We start from the raw sequence: 27,046 nt of genomic DNA on the forward strand, positions 1-27,046 counted from the left end.
CAAATATTTCAGAGTTTCACTCTTTTTGTTTACATCAGGATAGGTCAGTTCATGTTAACTTACTTTCCTGGTGGGATGGTGTTGAAGAGAGCCTGAGAACTTCTCAAAAACAAGGAAGAAAAGGTAACAGCAGACAAAAAAAGACAGACTAGCATCAATACGTTCTCCCTTGTTATCCCCATCTTGAGAAGGGGGCACATGGATTTGCCCTTTGATCTTGCACTCTCACCTAGAACACAACCACACTGGCCTATTACACTCCATAGACCTCAAACCACACTAATCCACTATTTACATTCACTTTCACCAGTTACCAGGGGAAAATAGCACATGTGGGGTTACAAAGGCTACATGATTGGGCTACCCAATTAGAACTTCACTGTGAAACTTCAGGACAAAATGCAGATCTGAAGATCATCCCAAAATGCCCAATAATGTTGGCTATGCTGACCCCAGCTGCTGGACTCCATTCCTTCTATGCAAGCTAAGTTCTCAGGCAAAAGTCTCTTGGAGTGTTTCTGCAGGGAGCAGAGAGCAAACTCTGCCCTCCAAGTTCTGTATCTTTGCCCTTAAAACTCAGCTCTCTGAAGGGAACCATATAATATTTCTGTAATATCTCTCATAAGCAAGTAAAGATCCCTCCTTAGACTCCCTTAATTCACCTCCAACTACTGCTTTGTTCCTCAGCAACCCTTTAGAGAAAAACCTCTAAATAGAGTTGTCTGTTCTTACTGTCTTCACTTCCTTGGCTCTCATTGTGGTTTCAGCACACACTGATTGAGTGTTCACCCCTCTCACTCCCCTGAACTTGGCCTTCTCCAGACACCAGTGATCTCCATCTTAATTTACCTGTAACCATCATTGTAGCAGGTTATCACCTCCTTCCCCTTGAAAATTCTTCAGATCTCACTGGACATCTCCATTCTGCCTCTATTGATGACTCCTTTACTTCTTCCAACATTTTACCTCAGTCTTCAACACTCTTGTCTATCTACTCCCCTCTCCTTGAGTGGTCTCACTCAGTTCCATGGCTTTAAATACATTTAGATATTGAATCTCAAACCTACATCTTTACATTGGCTTAAATCTCCAGCTGCCTACTTGACATCTATGCTTGGTGAACCCTAGTCAGCCTCTCCACACTTCCTTGTTTCAATAAATGGCCCCAATATTCACCTAGTTTTTCAGACTCAAGGCATAGGAGATATTTTTACTCTTTTCTTTACACCACACCTCCAACTCATCAGAAACTTCCATTTATTCCACCTTCAAAATTTATTTCAAACTTCACCACTGTTTACCACTTTCACTGCTGCTATCTATACCAAAGAAACCATCTTTGTTCACCTAAATCCCTGCGGTAGGCTTGCACCTGGACTCCCTGATTCCTTTTATACTCTTAAGTGGTCAGGTCTCCAGATAGCAACTAGAATGATCTGCCTAAAACATAAATCAGATAATGCCTCACCCCTGCCTCAAAGTCCTACATAACACTTTGGATTTTGGTTGTTGTTTTTGTTTTGTTTTTTGAGATAGGGTCTTGCTCTGTCACACAGGATGGAGTACAGTAGCATAATCACAGCTTACTGCAGCCTCGACCTCCTGGCTCAAGCAGTCCTCCTGCCTCAGCAACCTGAGTAGCTGGGACTACAAGTGTGCAACGTCAAGCCAGGCTAATTTTTTATTTTTCGTAGACATGGGAGTCTCACTACATTGCCGAGGCTGTCCTCCAACTCCTAGGTCCAAGCAATACTCCTGCCTTGACCTCCCAAAGTTTTGTGTTTACAAGAGTGAGCCACCATAATAGGCTTCCCATAATACTTTGAATGAAACCCAAACTCCTTACCATGTCCTATAAGGTCTAAAATAACTGGCTTTTGCCTATTTCTCCAGTTTCACCTCTTTTTATTTTCTGGCTCACTTCTGCCAGTTTGACCAAATTGACCTTCTTCCTTTTCCTACAGCAGATCAAGCTCATTCTGTGCTGGATTGTCACTCTGTCCAGAATGCCCTTCTCCCTAGACATTCATATGGCTCACACTCTCCCATCTTTCCAATGTCCACTCTCTTGTCACCTTCCCAGAGAGACCTCCCTGACTGCTTCATCTTAAATAACCACCCTCTCCATCTCCTTACTCTCCAGCCTATTAACATGTTACATTTCTTCGTACTTTTCCTAACAGTATATTACATATGTATTTGTTTATTGTTCTTTCTCCTCTCTCCTACATGAAAACAAGGAAATTGTTCATTGTTAAATTCTATATGCCCAACATCTAGAACTAAGCCAAGCACTTAGTATGAGCTCAATAAATATTTGCTAAGTGAATGAGTGTATTGAGCATGGGTGACTGAAAGATGGCTAACAGTTAAAGGCAGGGTCTTGGAAAGTATATCCCAGAGAGAAGTGAACTCCCAGATAGCAAGTCTGCTTAAAGAAACTGACCTTCTCTCTGATTTTCAGACTATATGAAGCCATTACTGAAATGTCACCTGGGGATTGCTAGTGACTGTTCTTCAAACCTGTCTGAATAGTTACTGAAAGCCAAGCTTTTAACTACCATTTTCAGATAATAACAGGAAGTAGAAGAGACAGTCAGATGACCAGCATCAGAACAGCTCTGTAGCAAAAGGCACGTGAGAAAGGAACCATGCATATCCCAGTCTGAGTTTATCCTAGGATTTAACAAAGTGAAGAACAGAACACAGGAAAATTAGCAACATATCAGAGAGAGGGAAAAAAAAAAAAGATCAACAGAGAAATAAATAAAAACAAATTAAATCTGTGTTTAAAATTTTAAATTTGTATAAATATTTTAAGTAGTGATGCTTAGTTTCGGCATTCATTTCATATGCTGTTTCATGTTGTCCACATGAAGGTAAGTCAGATTGTTACATATCAAAATATGAGGGCACAGAATGGTGTGTCTGCTGCTGGATAGACACGGGTGAGTTGCTGGCTGCTGTCAATAGAATCACAAGAGAAAGGACAGTTGTTATAGTGTCTTTGCACAGACAGGGTGTGGCGCTCACCTGAATGGAGATTGGATTTTATGAGGCACTGACGTGGCTCCTGACGGTAAGTCAGATGTCTCACCCCAGCCTCGATGACCTCTCTCCCTCGTCATGCTCCTGCCTCTCCCTGCAGGAACTCCAGCCTCTTCTGTAATATCTAGCCCAGATCTTCCTTCTGGTTATGACTTCCTCAATGTCCTGATTTCCCACATGAAATGTCACAAAGCATTTTTTCTGATTTTTCTAATATAATATCTTTCCATAAAACAATGAATACCTCCAGGTCTAAATGTGGGCTGTGTGGCTGTGTGATACAGTAGCCCCTAGCCATATGTGGCTATTTAAATGTAAATTTATCAATATTAAACAAATTTTAAAATTTAATTCCTAGTCACAGTATCACATTTCAAGTGCTCACTATCCTGGTGGTAAAGGACTACTATATTGCACAATGCAAGTAGAGAATGTTTCTGTGAGACAAAATAGTAAATGTAAGAAGCTGTGTTTGTTCATTCTTGCCAGCAGAATTTCACATAATCCCTTGCCAGCAGAATTTCACAGAGCCCCTGACTTGGTGACTGAGCACAGCCCTCCAAAAGAATGCCTTGAAAACGATAAGAAGGGGAGAGCACAGATTCCCATATCTCCTGCCTGAATCAGTGCATTTTTTAGAAAAGATAAGTTCAATGATTCTGGTCCTTGCCTTTTTCTGTACAAAAAATAATGTACAACGGGATTAATGATTATGCCTCTGTAATCTATAACCAGATGTACCCTCACATCCAAACTTTGATGACATTTTGTTTGCTTGTAACTTCTGAGCACACGTAATGTAATTCCGAGCACATTTGATGTAACTTCTGAGCACATACTGAGCTGCCACCACCTGTATATAAGCAGTGGATTGAAACACTACTTTGGTGCAGTCTGACAGAAACTCCTTGAAAGACTCCTATGGGATTGCAATTCTCATTAAGTCCACAATTCTATTACCTCCAAAGTTCTTTTATATAGTACTGTCCTAGATTAAATGGCAGTAAATGTATGGGGTAAAAACAAACAAAAAAATTACTGAAAAAAATGATATGTTATCCTGCAAACAGTGAGGGATAAAAAGAACTGAAGATATTATCCTGAAGAATCCTGGAATATAAGAACTCGACCCAGAAACTGAGACTAGCAAATGACAAGGAATAGCGAGTGGGATAGAAAGAAAAACATAAGAATGTGACATCACAGATGCAGAGGAAAGAAGAGCTTTCAGGAAGGAAAGAGTGTGCAGTAATTTCAGTGCTGTTGAGAAGTCAAGTGAGATAATGATTGAAAGTATGCATTAGATGTAGTGATTAGGAAGAGATGTTGGTGATTTGAAGAAGAGAACCTTTTGAGGAATTGTGGGGGCATAAGCCGGACTGCAATGGGTAGAAATGTGACTGGGAAAGCGAAAAAGAAAAGGGCAAATATAGACAACTCTGCAAAAATAATAGTAATAATAATGGTTATGAAATACAGGAGAAATGGGAAAGTTGAAGAATGATACAGTCTAGGGTAATGGTTTTAATGAGAAAATATGACTACGTTACAAGTTAATACAAGAACTCTTTTTTTTTTTTTTTTTTTTTTGAGACAGAGCCTTACTCTGTTGCCCAGGCTGGAGTGTATTGGTGCAATCCTGGCTCACTGCAACCTCTGGCTCGCCTCCCGAGTAGCTGGGATTACAGGTGTGCACTACGACGTAGAGAGGGGATTTCGCCTTGTTGGCCAGGCTGGTCTTGAACTCCTGGCCTCAAGCAATCTGCCCCTGCTCAGCCTCCCAACATGCTGGTATTGCAGGTGTGAGCCACTGCACCCGACAAGTTAATATGAGAACTCTTCTAAGCAAAATGAAGTAAATCCTGTAAGCCAATATTTCACTGTAAGAATGGGAAAAGCTGGAAATTTAAAACTATCATATTTTTAGGGGATTTGGAGACCTGTAGAATCAAAGAGAACTAGATAAACTAAAATTCCAGGGGAAAGAAAACTGTTTCAAGATGAGTCAAAAATGGTCAGCCCATCCTCCCGCACCCCCTACTCCTGTCCCACATACACATAACACTTTAACAAAAAAAAAAAAGAAAGAAAGAAAATATTTTCTGAGGCTTTACTATACAAATTATCTCATAACCCATGTTTTCCTCTGGCTATGCATCCACCACCCTTACTGAGAAGATAAGGAATCCCACCTGGTCCTATGGCTCCACCTAGTGTCGCCATTGGGGAGCAATTTAACTGCCTTGAGACTAGCTACAGAGGTTGGTTGGGAATGATGTATTTGCTTTACTGTCTTGCCTTCCTCTTCTAGGAGATCATGATTAGCAGCCTTAAAGAAGAGTCTGTGATTAATTAGACCTGAACCTCTCCTCACAGGAAACGAGTGAGAACATTTTCATTCCAAAGGGATAAAAAGGAATCCCATATTGTGACTTGGGAGCTGGATATATAGGTAGCATATGAGAGGATCTGCATGGGAAAGGGGGTGAACTGCTTTGAGACGCAAACTTATGCATCTTTTCAATAACTTTTCTTTCTCCCTCTTGATTTAATGCTACTTTTGGTCTTGGGTGGAAAATTTCCCCACTAAGTATGGGAGCTGATGTCCAGAAAGGTCAGGAGACTGAATGTGACAATCCAGAAGGGCAGGAGTTAGCTCCTCCAAGGGTAAAATATGACCAGTGAAGAACAAGGACCAAGCAAATAAGTGACTTCTTTTTTTCTTCAGCAAGCCGTCCAAGGTATGGCTTTTCCTTACAATCCAGCTGGAGAAGCCCTGCACCAAGTAGCCACCTGCTGACTTCTTGGCTTGTGAAGGCAGAGGCAGCACAATGGCACCCATCACATCACACTGCTTAGTATCTTCCCTTCCCTCACCTCCGTCCCTCCTTTCCAATAACTGACCTGAGTGTGCACAACCCAAATGAGCCGCTGGCATCTTAATCCTAGCTTCAGCCTCTGCTTTCTAGAGAACCTGCCTAAAACACTCTCTCTCTATATATATATATACACACATATCTATATCTATAGATATATACATATGTATGTGTATACACATAGATATAGATATATATTTAGACAGAGTCTTGCTCTGTCACTCAAACTGGAATGTAGTGGTGCCATCATAGTTCACTGCAGCCTTGAACTCCTGGGTTCCAGCAACCCTCCTGCATCAGTCCCCTGTGTAGCTAAGACTACAGGGGCACGCCACCACACCTGGCTAATTTTTTTTTAATATATTTCTTAAAGAAACAGGGACTTGCTCTGTTGCCTAGAGTGGTCTCAAACTCCTAGCCTTAAAAAAATTCTCCTGCCTCAGCCTCCCAAAGTGTTATGATTACAGGCATTCAATGCACCCGGCCTATCTCTCTCTCTCTCTTTTTAAAAAATCTATAATAGTCTCCCCTCCACTTTTTCCTTAAAATGTATTTGTTAAAGAAATTCTGTTGTAAGTTTGACACTCTAGGTTTGACTAATTACATCCCCAGGGTGTAATTCTCTTGGCTGGTAGTTACAAGTGAAGCTAGATCAAATTGAAGTCTGAGCTTTTTTGGCAATAATACTTTTTAGATTGAGCCGGAGACTCATATTGTGTCATTTTATTGTCTGGTTGTCTCCACTTAGTGGTTTTAAAAGTGTCAGCCCAATCCATTTATTATAAAGTTCCCCATCAGATTATCACCTGATGATTTCAGGAGCCATTGAAGGACATTATCTAGATTCATTACTTCATTGGGGATTACAAACGGTGATATTATGATTTTCTCATTCCTTTATTAGATAGACTTCTTATAAAAGGAAGGACATTTTCTTATCAACTATTTGTTTATCCTGAAATATAGTTGTGCAAGAAAATCAGGATAAATATTTAATGTTTTCTTTTATTTACCAGTTTCCCAATAATTCTTTTGTGTTCTAAAAACTTTCCATGTGTACAATGAGTTATTTTGTAGTATCATTATGGATTTTCACATATTTAATATGTTTCCAATCATTTTCAGCTATATGGAGGAAGCAGCAGAGAAGGGCAAATTTTAAAAAGTGGAAGAAAACTGGTATGCATATTTTCAACCAAGTGAAAACGTCAAGGAGGTTAAAGTAATCAACTGGGTCAAATGCTGCTGAGAGGTCAAATAAGGTAAGATGAGGACTTGAAGCTGGTGACCATACATTTAAAGTGAGGTCAGTGGGTATGGTGGGATGAGTTTTTTGTTGTTGTTGTTGTTGTTGTATTTTTTTGTTTGTTTGTTTGTTTTTTTCTTTCTTTTTTTTTTTTTTTTGAGACAGAGTCTTACTTTGTCGCCCAGGCTGGAGTACAGTGGCATGATCTTGGCTCACTGCAACCTCCACCTCCTGGATTCAAGTGATTCTCCTGCCTCAGCCTCCCAAATAGCTGGGATTACAGGTGTGCACCACCATGCCCAACTATTTTGTATTTTTAGTAGAGACAGCGTTTCACCATTTTATTTCAGTGCTCCGAAATTATCCTAGCCTGCATGCAAGAATGAGTAAAGTTCCCATAAACAAAAAAGTACAGTTAGTGCTGTTGGCTATTTTGCTGTTTCACTTTTACAGTAGTACTAGAGAAGAGACTAAACCCAGGCCTATGGGGCAGAGGTATGTTTATTTATGGAAGTAACAGTGAGGGGGTGGTGTTTGGATTAAAAGAGAGTGGAAGGGAAACCCAAAGGGTGATTTTGGGGGCAGCCTGGTTGGGAAGGAGAAGTCACTCAATTTTTCACCTCTATTCAGTTTACCAGTTTTGTCTTCTGTTGTTGAACTGGACATTTCACTCCCTTTTGTTTGTTATTTAGTTTTTATTTCATAATCATAAACAACTCTGCAATCCAGCTAGGCATGGAAGGGAACAAGGAAAACATGGAACCCAAAGGGAACTGCAGCGAGAGCACAAAGATTATAGGATACTGCAAGCAAATGGGGTGGAGAGGTCCTCTCCTGAGCTACAGAAGGAATGGTCTGGTGGTTAAGATAAAACACAAGTCAAACTTATTAGAATTGTCCACAGTCAGAAATGGTGGTCTTCTTGCTGGTCTTGCCATTCCCAGATCCAAAGTGCTCCATGGCCTCCACAATATTCCTGCCTTCTTTCACCTTGCCAAAGAGCACATGCTTGCCATCCAACCACTCAGTCTTGGCAGTGTAGATGAAAAACTGGGAACCATTTGTGTTGGGTCCAGCACTTTCCATGGACAAGATGCCAGGACCTGTATGCTTTAGTATGAAGTTCTCATCATCAAATTTCTCCCCATAGATGGACTTGCCACCAGTGCCATTATGCTGTGTGCAGTCACCACCCTGATACATAAACCCTGGAATAATTCTGTGAAAGCAGGAACCCTTATAACCAAATCATTTCTCTCCACTGCTCGGAACACGAAAGTTTTCTGCTATCTGTGGAAACTTGTCTGCAAACAGCTCAAAGGAGACACGGCCCAAGGGCTCACCGTCAACAGAGATGTCAGTGTCGAAGAACATGGTGGGGTTGACCATGGCTGATAGTACAGGGCTTCTGGCAGCGGTGGCATCTGCAAAGCCCATTTCACTCTTGAAATGCACTTTTAAATAAAACAATCTCACCTGGGTGTCTACTTCAGTAACGTTTCCTTGGGGAAGCCAGGCCATTAAATATGCCTCTCTGCTTACCTCATGTGCCTCAGTGTTCTTCCCCTGCAGGAGGAATCCTCAACAATTCATTCTGGGTTAAAATTTGCTTCAGGGTGCCTTCAAAAATAGAATGACTTAGGCCAATCTTGCCTTTTGAAATGCTCCAAATGAGACATGTTCCCTGTATCTGAAAAGTCTGACTGGGTAGGACAGTCACAGGAAAGACCTTTTAAATATTGACAAGTTTACGTATTAATAAGCCCATTTTCATGCATCACTCTAGTGCCCCTCCTCAATTTTTTGATCAGTCAATATCTCTCCCAATCACAGAGCAAAATCATAAATGGCATGTTAGTATTCTGAATCCAGTGCTTTTTTAAAAATGTGTTATAATCTAATAGTGTTTGTCAGGAACTCAACATTGGTTGGGCATTTGAAAATCAATCAATATTATTCCTCACGTTAACAGCAGAAAAAATATAAGATAATCTCAGTAGATACCAAAAAATTTTTTTAATTCAACCCTGTATATTATTAATGTAAAAATCATCTTAGCAAATTAGAAACAGTGAATTCCCTTAATTTGATACATCATATCTATAAGAGATGTACACATAACATCTCACCAAATTGTAAAATATTAAAATATTGAAAACTAACAATTTCTTATTGAAATAGGAAAACTCCCAATAACTGGACCCATTCTCTCACCCCCTGCCCCACGCTCTTACCACCTCACCTGATAAAAATCCAAGGAGTTTCAATAGTGCCTTCCAGAATGATAACATTTTCACCATAATCCTATCACCGCCTGAAGCAATTAGCAAGGTAAATAAGTGTTAATCCCCACATGATTGGATTTTGGTATCCGACTTCCTGTACAAGACAGAATACTACAAAAACCCACAGTCAGGGAAGAACTGAGCCATTTGCTGTTTTCCTAGGCTAGCTGTGTGACTGAGCCGGTCAGGCCTTGGGAGGCTGAGGCTATGGAGTTCCATCCATCAACCTTGGAAGAGCTGTCTTGGAGGCAGGCAGGTCCAGAGCCCCACATGCCATGGGACCTGAATCGAGAGCAAGCCTGGGCCTGGGCACTGGATAACTTCCCTGTGCTGAGCCGCCACTCCTGCCAATGCCATCAGCTCTGCGGGAGCTCTGCTGCGAGCTGGCTGCTGGACGGCACCCACACGGGGCACAGAGCCCTTCCCGGAAATGAGAGGGGCCAAAAACGCCCTCGAGATTCCCATGTCCAGGAGTCAATGGTGAAACCACAAAGGGGCTCCAGTCACCTCAAGAAGACGCAGATGCTACCGACGGTGGGGTCCAAAGCGGCCTGAACCAGCCCGGAGATGCCAGCGCCTGCGGAGGTGGAAGTACACATGCCCAGGGCGCCCTCTGCAGTTCAGGCCGCTCCCGGAAGCTGCTGAAAATCCACGATTCCATCAGGAAGGAACTCGGAAAGGAGAGGAACCCCAGCCTTGCTGCAGGCCTGCAGTAGGACCCGCTTCAACTGCTGTTCTGGAAGGAGCCCGAGGCACCCCAGTGGGGACCCTCTTGCCGTCCCTGCGGACATTTGCACTGGAACTGTGCCCTGCACACATGAGAGCCTTGAGGTCTCTGCTGTGGAGATCATTCTTTAATTTGTTCTTCCTCTCCTGAACGTCCTAAACATTTTTCATTTAGAAAAACTCTCTTCATGGAATGAATAATGTGTAATATGCTTAGGAACTGTTCTTTTAGATCTACTCAAAATTGCTATGGTCCCTCCATTGAAACTATACACTCTGATTAAAGCCTTTCCCTTATCCTCCACCTGTGGAGTTGATTTTTGAGCTGGTAGATCAAGATTGCTATAGATGGGCTGGGCGCGGTGGCTCATGCCTGTAATCCCAGTACTTTGAGAGGCCGAGGCGGGAGGATCACGAGGTCAGGAGATCGAGACCTTCCTGGCTAACACGGTGAAACCCCGTCTCTAAAAATACAAAAAATTAGCCGGGCTTGGTGGCGGGTGCCCATAGTCCCAGCTACTCGGGAGGCTGAGGCAGGAGAATGGTGTGAACCCGGGAGGCGGAGCTTGCAGTGATCCGAGATCGCGCCACTGCACTCCAGCCTGGGCGACAGAGCGAGACTCCGTCTCAAAAATAATAATAATAATAATAATAATACTGCCACAAACATGGGTGTATAAATACCTTTTTGAATCACCGCTTTCAAACATTTGGGATGTATACCCAGAAACAGATTTGCTAGATTGAGTGATATTCTATTTTTAATTTTTGAGGGGACACCATACTGTTTTCCACGTTTTTATTTTGAAGGCAAACTCTGTGGCTTTCTTTATAGTTAGACAATCAGTAAGGAGAGGGAGAGAAGGAAAAGCAGACTGTGAGACTTCAGAATTACATTGCGGCACCTAAGCTTCTCTACATTGAAATTTAGAACTGTCACTATAGGAAAGAAAAATGTCTTCAGAGCTACACAAAGTTAATGCCAACCCCTAGTTTCTGGGTCTTGATTTCTAACATCTGCATGACAGTAAAATTTCAAAACCCAAAGCGTGATTTCTCCTGTATGCCTTTTTATCTAAGTCCAGAGATTTTGATGTGCATGGCTAGAGGCTGAAGCTATGGTGGTGCATAAATCTTTCTCCTGAGTCACCTACAGAAAGAAGTGAGTGTCAGATGCTGCCGGTCTTGAGATGGGTGGAGACTGTGAGAGCATAGCCTCCCTGGGCCAAGTGACCATACCCATGAGCCTTCAGTTTTGCTGGATCTTAAAGTACAATTCATGTGCATCCTTGAGGTGGGCAAACTTCACACTGGCAAGAGTCTACAGCTTCCTGGAATTGTCTGACCTGAAGCTGGTACCCTGGAACCTCATGGCTATCAATTCAAAAGGCACAGGGCTGAGGGGTCTTCCTCATGTCCCCCTAAATTTAATTTCCACCTGTACCCTGTTAATGTAAACTGCATACCATTCAAGGAGATTTTATTGATGACTGTTCTTTTCTGTCACCAGGGAGGTCATGGTCAGTTTCAAGAGAACTCCAGCACAGTGGTCCACTGCCCCTTCCCACTCTGTTGGTATCATCCACAACTATACAAAGGCACCCTGGAGTTCAGCCTCCAATTCTGACCTGTATCACAGACTTTTTCATGCTCCTACCCACCTATATGTACTTCTAATCTTGACTCCACCCAATCCAAATCAATTCCACAAGTTGAGAATAAGGAATAGGCTTCAGTTGTCATGTATAAAGAACTATGAATTCTGAGTTAACCTAAAAGTAAAGCTCCTTAGCATATTCTTGATTGCATAAAGATAGTTTTTATAATTGTGAAAACTTTAAGGCACTTTGGAGAGGAAGCACTAAATAAAGAATGATCTCCATCACAGAGGGCACAGTTTCAAGGAAGTTCACAATAAAAAAAAAAAGTCAATTTTGTTCCCACTTATAAGTGGGAGCTGGATGATGAGAACACAAGAACATATAGAGGGGAAAAACAGACACTGGAGCCTATCGGAGGGTGGATGGTAAATGGAGAGAGAGGCAGGAAAAATAACTAATGGGTACTAGGCTCCGTACTTGAGTGATTGATATGGTTTGGCTGTGTCCCCACCCAAATCTCATCTTGAATTGTAGCTCCCATAATCCCCTTGTGTGTTGGGAGGGACCAAGTGGGAAGTAATAGAACCATGGGGCCGTTTTTCCCATGCCGTTCTCATGATAGTGAATAAGTCTCATGAGATCTGATGGTCTTACAAAGGGCAGTTCCCCTGCACATGCTCTGTTGCATGGTGCTATGTAAGACGTGCCTTTGCTCCTCCTTTCCCTTCTGCCATGATTGTGAGGCCCCTCCAGCCATATGGAACTGTGAGTCCATTAAGCCTCTTTTACTTTATAAATGACCCAGTATTTCTCCTAGCAGTATGAAAATGGCCTAACACAGTGATGAAATACTGCATACAGCAAACCCCCATGACACATGTTCACCTAAACAACGATCCCACACATGTACCCTGACTTAATGCCAACATCTAGTTTCTTTCAAAGTAATTGAAAATTCTTTCAAAGAATTTCTTTCAAAGAAATTGTTAAATTTTCACATAAATACTAGAATGTTCAAAATTAGTCATTTCAAACAACACTAATTTCAGATGATCCCTTTTATTTAGATGTCTTGCAACTATTTCTCTTTATCTAAAATTGCATAGTCTTATATCTGCCTGTTTTTTAATAATTGTACTTAAAATATAGTTACATTTTTAAAATAAATATAACTTGGAGAGACCCGAGGTACTTGATATTGTCTACACACATTCATTATCAATTCTTTACAAATTCTGCAGCCACCATCAGAATTCTTAGGCTTCCTCTTTTGGAAGCTGTCAATTCTTCAATATTAACATGTAATTTATGTATGACCCATTCCAGTGCTTCTCAGCCTTTATTAGCATTTGAAGATACTGTTCTTGCCACCGGTTTTTTCAAGGTATCTGCTGAGGCTCCTTCCTTTCACTACTTACAGCTTCTTGAGGCAAACTAGTTTTTTTCTGTGTCCTGATGATGTGGTTTGTGTATATCTCTCATCTACTAAAACCATATTTGTAAATGAAATATTCGTAGATTTAAGTTCCATTGTTTTCTCTATAGGATTAACTACAGAATATTCTAGTACATGTTTTGGTTCTTGCTGTACCAATAAGAGACTTCACAATGGAAGGCAGTTCCTACTCTTGGTGGAGAAGTCTGTGGTTGTGCAACTCTCCAGAGGGATCTATGTCTGTCCAGTACACCAACCCCAGCCATGCTCATGTTCATAGGGTTTGGGCATTTGTGCATTCCAATTGTTGTAACAGTTTCCTATGAGTGGTCAAAGTCATGCTCTGAAGTCCAGATTATGATGGAGCAGGCAGCCTTAGAGATGTCGGGGCAGTGCAGGATAAATGAGACAAAGAGGCTACACCTGCCCCACCTGACTCCCAGCATCCCAGCCAGCTTCACTGTGTGCCATCAACCCCACGTGAAGGGCATCCCAACCTCCTCCTTCACCACTTATTATTATACGATGTAACTTATAAACAATTTAAAGCAGGGGTCTCAATCCCCCAGAAACAGACTAATACCAGCCTGTGGACTAATAGGAACCAGGCCACACAGGAGGAGGTGAGCAGCAGGCAAGAAAGCATTACTGCCTGGGCTCTGCCTCCTGTCAGATCAACTATGGCATTAGATTCTCATAGGAGCACCAACCTTAATGTGAACTGGCACTGCAAGGGATCTACCTTGCATGCTCCTCATAAGAATCTAATGCCTGAAGATCTGAGGTGGAACAGTTTCATCATAAAACATCCCCCCAACCCTTACCAGCCATCCATGGAAAAATTGCCTTCCACGCAACAAATCCCTGGTGCCAGAAAGGTTGGGGAGCTCGATTTAAAGAACATTATTAATGTCTGTTTCCTGCCTTCATCTGGGAGGTCACAGTCAGCTTCGAAACTCCAGCAAGTGATCCACCCAGCTGTCCCCTCCCACCTTGTTAGTATCCACAGCTCCTGAAAGGCCCCCTGGGATTTAGACTAAAGCATGATCGTACCATTGCATGCCAGCCTGGGCAAAAAAGTGAGACCCCACCTCAAAAGAAAAAAAAAAAAGGAAAAAGAAGAAGGAAAAAAAAGCTCTGAGTTGGATCCCTGCCCCCTTTCTGTCAGCTTTGGGCCCATCTATACCAATCTTGATTTACCGGTCTTGATTTCACAGGTGGAAAATAAGGAAAAGGCTTTAAACAATGTGTATAATTTCAATAAAAGAACCATCACAATTTTAAGCAGATCTAAAAGAAGGGTTCCTTAGCACACTGCATATTATTCATTCCATGAAGAGAGTTTTTCTAAATGAAAAATGTTCAGGACGTTCAGGAGAGGAAGAACAAATTAAAGAATGATCTCCACAGCAGAGGCCTCAAGGCTCTTATGCGTGCAAGGAACAGTTCCAGTGTAAAAGTCCGCAGCGACGCCATGAGGGCACCCACTGGAGTGCCTCGGGCTCCTTCCAGGGCAGCAGTTAAGCAGGTCGTGTCGCAGGCCTGCAGAAAGGCTGGGGTTCCTCTCCTTTCCGGGTTCCTTCCTGATGGAACCCTGGGTTTTCAGCAGCTTCCGGGGCGGGGTGGGAGGGTCCTGAACTGCAGAGAGCGCCCTGGGCATGTGTACTTCCACCTCCGCAGGCGCTGGCATCTCCAGGCAGCTTCAGGCCGCTTTGGAACTCACCGTCGGTAGCATCTGCGTCTTCTTGAGGGGACTGAAGACCGTCTGTGGTTTCAGCCATTGACTCCTCAAAATGGGAGTCTGGAGGCCGTTTTTGGCCCCTCTCATCTCCGGGAAGGGCTCCGTGCCTGGTGGAGGCTCAGTGCAGCAGCCAGCTCGCAGCAGAGCTCCCACAGAGCTGATGGCATTGACAGGAGTGGCGGCTCAGCACAGGGAAGTTATCCAGTGCCCAGGCCCAGACTTGCTCTCGGTTCAGGTCCCATGGCATGTGGGGCTCTGGACCTGCCTGCCTCCAAGACAGCTCTTCCAGAGTTGATGGATGGAACTCCATAGCCTCAGCCTCCCAAAGCTTGACCAGGTCCGGCCAAGTAGCTAGTCTAGGAAAAGAGCAAATGGCTCAATTCATCCCTGACTGTGGGTTTTTATAGCATTCTGTCTTGTACAGGAAGTCGGATACCAGAATCCAATCATGTGGGGATTAACACTTATTACCTTGCTAATTGCTTTAAACCATGATAGGGTTGTGGTGGAAAGTTTATCATTCCAGAAGGCACTATTGAAACTCCTTGGGTTTCTATTGGATCAGGCTGTAATAGGGTGGGGCAGGGTGTGAGAGAATGGGTCCAGTTATTGGCAGTTTTCTTATTTCAATAAGAAATTGGCAGTTTTCAGTATTTCACAATTTGATGAGATGTTAGATGTACATCTCATATAGAAATGCTTTATCAAATTAAGGGAATTTGCAATTTCTAATTTGCTAAGATGACTTTTATATTAATGAAGCAGGGTTGAATTTTTTAAAAGATTTTTTGTATCTACTGAGATTATCGTATATTTTTTCTGCTGTTAATGTGGAGAATAATAGAGATTGATTTTCAAACGCCAAACCAAAGTTGAGTTCCTGATAAACTCCATTAGATTATGATGCATTTTTTTAAAGTATATTACTGGATTCAGAATGTTAACATATAGTTGATTTGGCCCTGTGGTTTGGGAAAGATATTGGATGATGAAAAAATTGAAGAGGGGGCACTGGAATGACGCACGAAAAGGTCGTATAAATACTTAAACTTGTTGGTATTTAAAAAGGACTTTCTATGTAGTTGTACCACTCAGTCAAAGACTGTTTAAATGTAGGGAACATGTCTCATTTGCAGCATATCGAGAGTCAAGATTGGCCTGAGTCATTCTATTTTTGAAGGTACTCTGAAACAAATTTTAATACAGAGTGAATTTTTGAGGATTCCAACAGCAGGGGAAAAACAGTGAAGTACATAAGGTGAGCAGAAAGGTATGTTTTAATGGCCTGGCTTCCCCCAAAAAACATTACTGAAATAAACACTCATGTGAGATTGCTTTATTCAAGAGTGCTGTCCTTAGGAAGTGGGAGTGAGAAGAAAAAGGAGAGGGTCAGGGATGAGCATATTCAATGCTGTGCTTCCTAGTTGTTCAAGCTTAGTATCAAGTATGACCAGAGGTGACTTTATTATTAAACCAATAAAGTTTAACTGTAAGGCAAACTTCCAAAGAGTTTGTAAAACATTTGTCTTAAAACATTTTTATAATTCTCTTAAACAGAATCCCCTACTACTTGTATGAACACTGACTCCACAAATTGGAAACCGCTGTGAACACTAATGGTTGTTTGATCTCATGAAACCATCTTCTGAGAGGCCTTATGAATAACTGCTTCTCAGCACAGTTCACTTGGGAGGAAGAAAAGGACAGAATATATCCACTGTTGGGAGATAACACAATTCTCACAACAAAAACCCCAGTGTACCAAACAGAAGAGGCAGGGAACACTAGCATTCAGTTGGTATTCACAGATTTTCATGCATTTAAGTTAGCATGACAACTACAAAGTTAGGCCACATCTCATACATTTTCAGCAGAGCAGGGGGAAGCAGGATGAATTCCTTTCTCTCTTCAAAGAAACAGAGAACACCTTACAATAGTATTTTGTCATCTGCTAAGAGACCCTCAGCTCATTCTGAAAGTACTTTTAAGAAACATTTACATATTATTATTTGTCCTGTGACCATGGATATATTGATATATTGCAAAAACTTGAGATTCAATTTTATCTTCAGATGGACAAATCTAAATTCAAATGGTTCAACTATGGATTAAGACTCACCATATTAAATGTGATATTACTGGTCAATTTCTTTTATGGGTTTTAGGAAAAGAAAACACTCATATAGTATAAGCAGAAAACTATTATGGGATAAAATTCACTTAAAATATGATAAAAATGTGTAGACATAGATTTTAGACTGAATGTCAGGGAATGATTTTCTGAACCACATTGCAAACTGGCTCCCTAAAACAAGATGCTGTCAGAAATCAGTAAACACTAAATCAGACAGCAGCTGAACCACCCTGGGCTTCTCTCTTCAGAAACATGCCTCAAATATTAGACACTGGATCAATCCAAGTGTCTATAGGGAATAAATGTATACAGTAATTATCATGATCTATTTTTGGAGGACAAATACTTAATCTATTTTTAAAAACAATCTGGCAATACTCCATAAAATTAGGTTATGCATTTTCAATGCACAGTTCAGCTGGAGGATGATGTATATCCTAAATAAATTCTCATGAGAATGAGACTAATGTATGTGATATTGGTGATTAGGTTGCATCTGAGTCTCCCCTGTGGGACACTGGAGAGGGAACGTGTGGCAGAGGCTCATCAGAAGCTGATATGCTGAAGTTGGAAGCAGCAGGTAAAATGTTCCTATAAAAATCTTAGAAACTTGTCAATAAATGGAAAATAATAAACAAGATACACACTCCAATACTTTTTGTAATAATTGAAAATCTACACAAAAAATGTGTCACATATAAGACTGATTGCTACAAAACACACAATAGAAATAAAAATAAAATAGCTGGAAATAAAATAGTAATAAGAATTTCAGTAGAAGTATGAAAGGAGATAAAAGACAATAAGTAATAAAATGCACCTAATTACATAAAATAGGATTGGGGCCTGCACAAAGCACTATTAAAAATGTTAAGTCAATTCAGCTTATTATACCCTTAGGTATAAAAATCATAGCACCCTTGAGGTCTCCCTTTCATATAGTTAGATGAGTGTAGACACAAATAGAAAATATATGGCTGCCGGGCGCAGTGGCTCACGCATGTAATCTCAACATTTTGGGAGGCCAAGGTGGGCGGATCACCTGAGGTCGGGAGTTTTAGACCAGCCTGGCCAACATGGATACCATCTCTACTAAAAATACAAAATTAGCTGGGCGTGGTGGCACATGCCTGTAATCCCAGCTACTCGGGAGGCTGAAGCAGGAGAATCGCTTGAACCTGCGAGGCGGAGGTTGCGGTGAGCCAAGATCGCGCCATTGAACTCCAGCCTGGACAACAAAAGTGAAACACAAAAAAAAGAAAAGAAAAAGAAGGAAGGAAGAAAGAAAGAAGAAAATGTATGGCTTTACAAAAGTCCTGGGATGCTCCATTTTTTTTTTTTTTTTTTTTTTTTTTTTGAGGCAGAGTCTTGCTCTGTCGCCCGGGCTGTGGCGTGATCTCGGCTCACTGCAAGCTCCGCCTCCCAGGTTCTCGCCATTCTCCTGCCTCAGCCTCCTGTGTAGCTGGGACTACAGGCGGCCACCACCACGCCCGGCTTTTTTTTTTTTTTTTTTTTTTTTTTTTGTATTTTTAGTAGAGACAGATGAGATGCTTCTTTTCACAACCTAGCCTAGACTAATATTTTATTCATTACTCAATGTGATTGACATGCTGCAGGACCTGGATTCTGAATCCAGATTCTAGCAGAATTAGCTTTCTGATCTTGGACTATGATCTAACCTCATTGTGTCTCCTATCTACAACCAGTCAATGCCTCTAAAATATGCAAGAAGAATGAGACATAGTAGGTGTAATTGTCTAGGGTGCCCTGAAATAAGGATACACTTTCTATAGTGAATGGACAGTGAGTAACTGGATCATGCCAGCAGTGGAACATCTCCATTGCTCTCTTTCCTTGGCTGATTCAATCATAGCAACCCAGCAGCGTTTTCAGAGTATCTTCCAGAATGATACAATTTTCACCTTAATCCTACTCTGAACTGATTTGCAAGGCAAATTAGTGTTAATCTCCTGCTTATTTGAATAGCTGGTTTCTGGCCTATATACAAGAAAAAGCATATTATAAAAACACACTCAGGCCGGCGTGGTGGCTCATGCCTGTAATCCTAGCACTTTGGGAGGCCAAGGCTGGCAGATGACGAGGTCAGGAGTTCAAGACCAGCCTGACCAACATGGTGAAACCCTATCTCTACTAAAAATACAAAAATTAGCCGGGGGTGGTGGCACGCACCTGGAGTCTCAGCTACTCGGGAGGCTGAGGCAGAAGAATCGCTTGAACCCGAGAGGCAGAGGTTGCAGTGAGCCAAGATCATGCGACCGCACTCCAGCCTGAGTGACAGAGCAGGACTCCATCTCAAACACCCACCCACAGACACACACACACACACACACTCAGTACTAGCCTGAGTCATTTACCTCTTTTCCTAGTTCAGCTACATGGCTGGCCTCATCACAAGGCTGAACCCATGGAGTTCTGTCCACCAACCCTGGAAGAACAGTCTTGGAGGTAGGCAGGTCCAGAGTGCTTGTCACATGCCACCAGGACAGGACCAAGAACAAACCTGTGCCTGGGCACTAGATCACTTGCTGTGCTGAACACCACTCCTGCCAATGCCCTTTGCTCTGTGAGGATGTAAAATCAGGTGTGTGTGGGCTGCTGTTTTGGGTTTCCAGCAGGCTCAGAGCTGTTCTCAGACTCAAGAGGGACCCAATCGCCATCAAAACCCACATGTCCAGAAGTCAGTGGCTGAAACCACAAAGTAGCTCCAGTCGCTTTAAGACAAGATGGATTAGGCCAGGCATGGTGGCTCGCGCCTGTAATCCCAGCACTTTGGAAGGCTGAGGCAAATGGGTCACCTGAGGTCAGGAGTTCGAGACCAGCCAGGTCAACATGGTGAGCCCCGTCTCTACTAAAAATACAAAATTAGCCAGGCATGGTGGTGCATGCCTGTAATCCAAGCTACTTGAGAGGCTAAGGCAGGAGACTCACTTGAACCTGGGAGGCGGAGGTTGCAGTGAGCCGAGATCGCGCCATTGGCCTCCAACCTGGCAACAAGAGCGAAACTCCCTCTCGGAAAAAAAAAAAAAGATGGATTCTGCCAATAGCAGGGTTCAGTGGGTCCCAAACCAGCCAGGAGATGCCAGCGCTTGCAGAGCTGAACAGACACATACCCAGGACGTCTCCTTAAACTGCTCACAATCAAGGCTTGAAATACTGAAGAACCCTGAAAGGGAAAAAAAACTTTTCTTGCTCATTACTCACAGTGAGATAGGAGTTTGGCAGGACTAGTTTCTCAAGACAAACAGGATGCTAGGTCCCCAAGACACAGGTCACAGTACCCGGTACAAGATTCCTTAAAAAAAATTTAAAAATTGTTTTAAAAAAGCCCAAACCAGCTAGAAGGAAAATGGCATAAAAGCTACCTCTGGTTACCTTCATTGCTCGTTATATGCTAATTATTATGCATTGGCATGCTAAAAGACTACCACCAGAGCAATGACTGTTTATAAGTGCCATGGCAATCCCCAAGAGTTACTCTGTATCTTCTGTAAGGTAGATAAACCCCCGGTCCACAAGCTCCTGCCTCTTTCCCAGATAACTAAAGAAATAGTCGACCCCTCATTTAGCATATAATCAAGAAATAGCCATAAAATAGCCAGCTAGCTGCCCTGTCCCTTGGTGCTACCCTGACTACGGGGGTAGCCTTCTTTTTGTTTCCTTAATACACTTGCTTTCACATTACTCTTTTGGCTTGCTCTTGAATTCTTTCTGGTACAAGCAAAGTATCCACTTGGCTTCCCTGGCTGAATGCCAATTCTGGGGGTATCCTTGCATCAACAGCACCACTGCCTTCAACCAATGCCCTGGAAGGAGCTCCTCACACCCCAGTGGGGACCCTCATGATGTTATTGTAAACTTGCTTGGGACTCTGCCTTCTAGATAGAGGCAACAGGAGCAAGAAGTTTCTATGTTGGAGATCATTCCTTGTTTAGTTCTTCCTCTCCAAAGTACTAGGAGCAAGAAGTCTATGATGGAGATCATTCCTTATTTAGTTCTTCTTCTCCAAAGTACCTCAAAGATTTCCAAATTATAAAAACTATCTTTGTGTAATCAAGAATATGCTAAGGAACTTTACTTCTAGATAGACTCAGAATTCATGGTAGATGGTAAATTTTGTTATATGTATTTTACCACAATAAAAATAAATAGAAAATAAAAGACAAGAAGGAAATGAAAGAATTGAGTGACTACCACTGCCCTGCTTCTCACTAACATCCCAAGTTGTCTTTGAGGACACACCTCTCCTCAAGCTTTTCTCTGCCTGGAGAACAAGATTGCAGTCTCTGCTCCAGGACTAGCAATGTGGTTTGGGGCAATAATAAACTATTAACCAGGGTTCCTCAAAAGAGCTTTCCCTCCACAGGTTAAGGAGTACCTTTTCTTTTTATCACTTAAACCACCCTATCACAGATTGAGTTTCGTCTAAGATGTTAGGGTTTTATGTTAATACCAGTAATTCCATCTTCTGTTACAATTTGCTTCTAGAATTAATATCACCACTATGCTTCCTATGATCTGATTAGGACCAGGCACTTGGCCAGAAAAGTGTAAAAACTCAAAAGCTGATGTCTCCTGCTGTGAGACTGGATGAAACACCTTTTCCCTTGTGTTCAGGAGCCCTTGGATTACACAATTCCATATTGCTTTCAGATTGGCCAGCCCAGAGGAAATCTTAGCAGATAATCTAACCTGGGTGTTGCACACAGAGGCCACCCTGAGGGAGCCAAAGCCAGGGCTGCATTCATAGTCCCTTTATCCCCTAGACCTTCAAAAGGTTTCAAATTGAAATCACGATCATGTCATCTAAGATAACAATTAATTTCTCTTTACAATTAATTGCCATTCAGGGATGTTGTGGTTTGAATATTTGTCCCTTCTGAAACTCATGTTGAAACTTAATCCCCAATGTAGCAATATTGAGAGGTAGGGCCTTTAAGCAGTGATTGGGTCTTGAGGGCTCTGCCCGTTTGATGTCTTAATCCATTTATGGATTAACGGTTAATTGGTTAATGGAATAATGGGTTATCAGAGGATTGGGATTGTGGTTTTATTTTTTTTTAAGTAGATTTTGAGACTTCAGAACAGAAAATGAGGATGATAAGATGGGAAGCCCCCTCCATATCCAAACCACAAAAACACTCTAACTCATCTTTCACCATCTGCTTATTTTTTATGACATGGATAATTGACATGTAATTAGTCTAATAATGAGTGCAAAGCAAACACAGCTCTAGTTCCACGTTCCAATAAGATGCAACATCTAAGCTTCTCTATACTGATACTTAGAACTGCCACTATGTGAAAAGATTGATGTAATCACAGCTAGACTAGATTAATGCTGTCATCTAGTTTATGGGTTTTGATTTCTAACATTTGAGGGGACAGAAAAGTGTAAAAGTCCCAAGTGTATTCTCTACTGCATGTTTTTCATCTCTGCCCAAGGATTTTGGTGTAAAGGCTGGAAACCTTTACACCAAATCTTTACACTAAAGTTGTGAAGACACATAAATCTTTCTCCTGGGATGCCCACAAGAAGGAATGAGTCTTAGTTGCTGCAGGACCTGAGATGGGCAGAGATTATGAGAGCCTCCCATACACTTGGTGTTCTGCACTGAATTGTGTTCCCCCAAAATTCATGATAATTTTGATTAACTAATCTCCAAGTGATGGTATTTGGAGATGGGGCCTTTGGGAGACAATTAAGTTTAGATGAGGTCATGAGGGTTGGGGTTTCATAATGGGATTAGTGCCCTTATGAGAAGAGGAAGAGATACCAGGTCCCTCTCCTTCTCTCCCTTTCTTCTCTTGCCCCTCTACCCACTTCTCTCTCTCCTTCTGTGCCATGTGAGAACACAGCTACAACATGGCCATTGGCATGACAGGAAGACAGCCCTCACCAGGAGCTGAATCACTGGCGCTTTCATCTTGGACTTCCAGATCCTGGGCAAGACTCACCAAGGCAGACATCTGTAGCTGCCTGGAATTGTCTGATCTGGAGTTGATGCTCTGGAACCCTGTGGTTGTTAACTCAGAAGGCACAAGGCTAGGGATCTTCTTTCAGTCCCCGTTAGTCTATCCCCACTCTTCATTTTCTCTTTTGTTTTTCAAGTAATGAATTTATTTTTCCAATTAATGTAGCCAGCTCATGGTACAGCATATTAAAGCATAAAGTACAAATCCAAGGAAGGTAATACCTTTACTATGTTATAAAACTTTGACAAATCAATATATTACTTTTTATTATAATAAAAGCATATGTTTCTGGGAGTCATATACTACTTTAGGGATAATTTTTACTCCAAAAATATTCAAGTACTAAACCAAAACACTGGTTTTTAATGGTGGTTTATAGCAGAGCAAGTTATTTTATACACATTAATATCATTTAAAACTGAGCAATTTCTCCTTTTAAAGTGAAGTTCCTTATGCAAGCTGTTGAAGTTTATGGCAGCAGGGCAATTGTGTGTATATAAGAGGTGGCTCTGCTTTGTTCTGAAGTTCCACCAAAGTCAGGTAGTGTTCCCAGGTGTTAAAAGCTTTAAAATTCTACCTCAAAATGATTCAATGTCAATGCAAACTGCCAAGTACTTTTTGAAAAATTTTTAAATTTTCACATAAATACTGGAACTCTCAAAATTAGACAATCATTTCAAACAACACTTATTTTAGATGATCCCTTTTATTTAGACACCCTGAACCTCTTTGTTTTTATTCCATGTCACAAAGTCTTCTATCAGTCTATTTTTTAAAAATTCTACCTAAGATACGGTTTTAAAATAACAGATTGCAAGGTTGGAGACACCTGGGGTACTTGATGTCTTCCAACATCCATTATCATTTCTCTGTAAATGATGCTGCTACTATCCGAGTTCTTATGCTTCCTCTTTTTGAAGCCAGCAATTTCTCAATCTTAACATGTAGTTTAAGTATTACCCATTCCAGTGCTTCTCAGCCTTTATTAGCATTTGAAGATATTGTACTTGTCTTCAGTTCTTCAAGGTAACTGCTGAGGCTGATTCTTTTCACAATGATTGTGGTTTCTTGAGTCAAAATAGTTTTTTTTCTGGGTCCTGAAGACTATGTTTTGGCTCTTGCTGCAACAGTAAGGGACTTGCAGTTCCCACTCTGTGCAGAGAAGTCTGTGGCCTTGCAACTTTCCAGAGGGATCTATATATCCTTCCAACACATCAACCCACACCCTGCTCAGGTTCGCAGGGCTTGGGTATTTGTGCATTGCAGCTGTTGTAACAGTTTCCCACGGGTGGTGAAAGACGTGCTCTGCAGTCCAGATCTTGATGGTGCAGGCAGTCTGCTAGATGTCTGTGAAGCGCAGGGGAAAATGAGGTGAGGAGGCTACACCTGTCCCACCCCGTCGGGGGCCCTTCAACCAGCTTCGCTGTGCGCAGGTGCCGTCGGCTCCAAGTGAGGCGGTCCTCCACTCTTCGTTACAATGTAACATTTAAACCATTTAAAGCAGAGATCCGCAACGTTTTTGGCACCAGGGACCAGTTTAGTGGAATACAATTTTTCTACGGATGGAGAGGGGTGTGGGGATGGTTTCGGGATGAAGGTGTTAGAAATCAAATAATCAGGCACGCAATAGATTCTCAAAAGGAGAGCAAAAGCTAGTCTTGGTCCTGCGCATGCGCAGTTCACAATAGGGTTCGCACTCCTGTGAGAATTTAATGCAGCAGATCTGACGCTAGGCGGAGCTCAGCCAGTAATGCTCGCTTGCCCACTGCTCAGCTCCTGCTTTGGGGCCGGGTTCCTAACCGGTCCGTGGTGGGGGGGATTGGGGACCCCTGATTTAAAGAACAGTGCTAATGCCTGTTTTCTGCCTTTATTTGGAGGGCCACAGTCAGTTTCAAAGCAACTCCAGCATATGATCCACCCAGCTGTCCCCTCCCACCCTGTTAGTATCCACAGCTCCTCAAAGGCCCCTGGAATTTAGACTAAAGCCTGATCACGCCACTGCACACCGGCCTAGGCGACCCAGCGAGACCCCCATCTTAAATAATAATAAGACTCAAAAGAAAAAGAAAAAGCTCTGAGCTAGGTCCCTGCCCCCTTTCTGTCTGCTTCAGGCCCATCTATACCAACCTTGATTTACTAGTTTTGATTCCACAGTTGGAGAATAAGGGAAAGGCTTTAATCAATGTGTACAGTTTCGATGGAAGAACCATCACAATTTTGAGTAGATCTAAAAGAAAAGTTCCTTAGCACATTGCATATTATTCACTACATGAAGAGAGTTTTTCTAAATAAAAATGTTTAGGACATTCAGGAGAGGAAGAACAAATTATGGAATGATCTCCACAGCAAAGACCTCAAGGCTCTTATGCGTGCAGGGCACAGTTCCAGTGCAAAAGTCCCCAGAGACAGCATGAGGGTTCCCACTGAGGTGCCTCGGGCTCCTTCCAGGGCAGCAGTTGAAGCAGGTCCTACTGCAGGCCTGCAGAAAGGCAGGGGTTTCTCTCCTTTCCGGGTTCCTTCTTGATGGAATCGTCGGTTTTCAGCAGCTTCCGGGGACAGCCTGGACCGCAGAGAGCAGTCCTGACTCCACACAGGTGGAGAATAAGGAACAGGCTTCAATTGTCATGTACAAAGAACTATGAATTCTGAGTTGATCTAAAAGTAAAGCCCCTTAGCATATTCTTGATTACATATAAATCAAAGTTGTATAATTGAGAAAACTTTAAGGCACTTTGGAGAGGAAGAACTATATAAGGAATTATCTCCATCATAGAGACTTCTTGTTCCTAGATGAACAGTCCCAAGGAAGTTTACAATAACATAATGAGGGTCTCCACTGGGGTGTGAGGAGCTCCTTCCGGGGAATTGGCTGAAGGCAGTGGTGCTGTTGATGCAAGGATACCCCTAAAATTGGAGTTTAGCCTGGGAGACCAAGTAGATACTTGACTTTGAGCCAGAAAGAATTCAAGAGCAAGCCAACAGAGTAATGTGAAAGCAAGTTTATTAAGGAAACTAAGGAACAAAAAGGAGGCTACCCCATAGTCAGGGTAGCAATGGGGCCAGGGTGGCTAGCTGGCTATTTTATGGCTATTTCTGGATTATATGCTAAACAAGGGGTCAATTATTTCTTTAGTTATCTGGGAAAGGGGTGGGAGCTTGTGGAACCAGGAGTTTCTCCCCCTTACAGAATATACAGAGTAACTCTTGGGCATTGCAATGGCATTTGTAAACAGTCACAGTGATTGCTCGGGTGTTAGTGTCTTTTAGCATCCCAATGCATAATAATGAGCATATAATGAGCAACGAGGGTAACCAGAGGTTGCTTATGTAGCCATCTTCCTTCTAACTGGTTTGGGCTTTTTTTTTTTTTTTTTTTTAAAGGAATCATGTCTTATCAAGAGGGTATTGTGACCTGTGTCTTGGGGACCTAGCCTCCTGTTTGTCTTGCAAAACTAGTCCTGCCAAACTCCTATCTCACTGTGAGCCAGGAGCAACAAAAGGTTTGTACCCCCCTCCCCTTCCTGGGTTGCTCTGTATTTCAAGCCCTGATTGTGAGTAGTTTATGAAGGCATCCTCAGTATGTGTCTGTTCAGCTCCACAAGCGTTGGCATCTCCTGGCTGGTTTGGGACCATTGAACCCTGCCATTGGTAGAATCCATCTTTCTTTAAGGTGACTGGAGCTCCTTTGTGGTTTCAGCCACTGACTCCTGGACATGTGGGTTTTGATGGCCATTGGACCCCTCTTGAGCCTGGGAACAGCTCCGTGCCTGCTGGAAACCCAGCACAGCAGCCCACACATACCTGATTTTACATCCTCACAGAGCTAAGGGCATTGGCAGGCATGGTGGCTCAACACAGCAAGTGATCTAGTGCCCAGCCTCAGGTTTGTTCACGGTCCTGACCTGGTGGCATATGACATGCACTCTGGACCTGCTTACCTCCAGGACTGTTCTTCCAGGT

At 42.3% G+C, this 27,046-nt stretch overlaps 3 pseudogenes, besides 3 other annotated features; all 3 read right to left on the minus strand.

The window, feature by feature from the left end:
* Positions 2,596 to 3,795: an enhancer, noted in NCBI's record as "MED14-independent group 3 enhancer chr5:42886955-42888154 (GRCh37/hg19 assembly coordinates)". NCBI's record gives its function as "activates an origin of replication core promoter dependent on BRD2, BRD4, P300/CBP and CDK7 cofactors, and independent of MED14, by STARR-seq in HCT116 cells {active_cell/tissue: HCT116}" and the evidence as "EXISTENCE:reporter gene assay evidence [ECO:0000049][PMID:35650434]".
* Positions 7,862 to 8,601, minus strand: PPIAP77 (peptidylprolyl isomerase A pseudogene 77; annotated as a pseudogene).
* On the minus strand, positions 13,010 to 13,573 carry PRELID3BP4 (PRELI domain containing 3B pseudogene 4; annotated as a pseudogene).
* On the minus strand, positions 23,951 to 24,410 carry PRELID3BP5 (PRELI domain containing 3B pseudogene 5; annotated as a pseudogene).
* Positions 24,272 to 24,321: an enhancer, noted in NCBI's record as "active region_22512". NCBI's record gives its function as "activates an Ori minimal core promoter by ATAC-STARR-seq in GM12878 lymphoblastoid cells {active_cell/tissue: GM12878}" and the evidence as "EXISTENCE:reporter gene assay evidence [ECO:0000049][PMID:35858748]".
* Positions 24,452 to 24,511: an enhancer, noted in NCBI's record as "active region_22513". NCBI's record gives its function as "activates an Ori minimal core promoter by ATAC-STARR-seq in GM12878 lymphoblastoid cells {active_cell/tissue: GM12878}" and the evidence as "EXISTENCE:reporter gene assay evidence [ECO:0000049][PMID:35858748]".

Source organism: Homo sapiens, chromosome 5 (genome assembly GCF_000001405.40).
Source record: "Homo sapiens chromosome 5, GRCh38.p14 Primary Assembly".
NCBI classification, from domain to species: domain Eukaryota; kingdom Metazoa; phylum Chordata; class Mammalia; order Primates; family Hominidae; genus Homo; species Homo sapiens.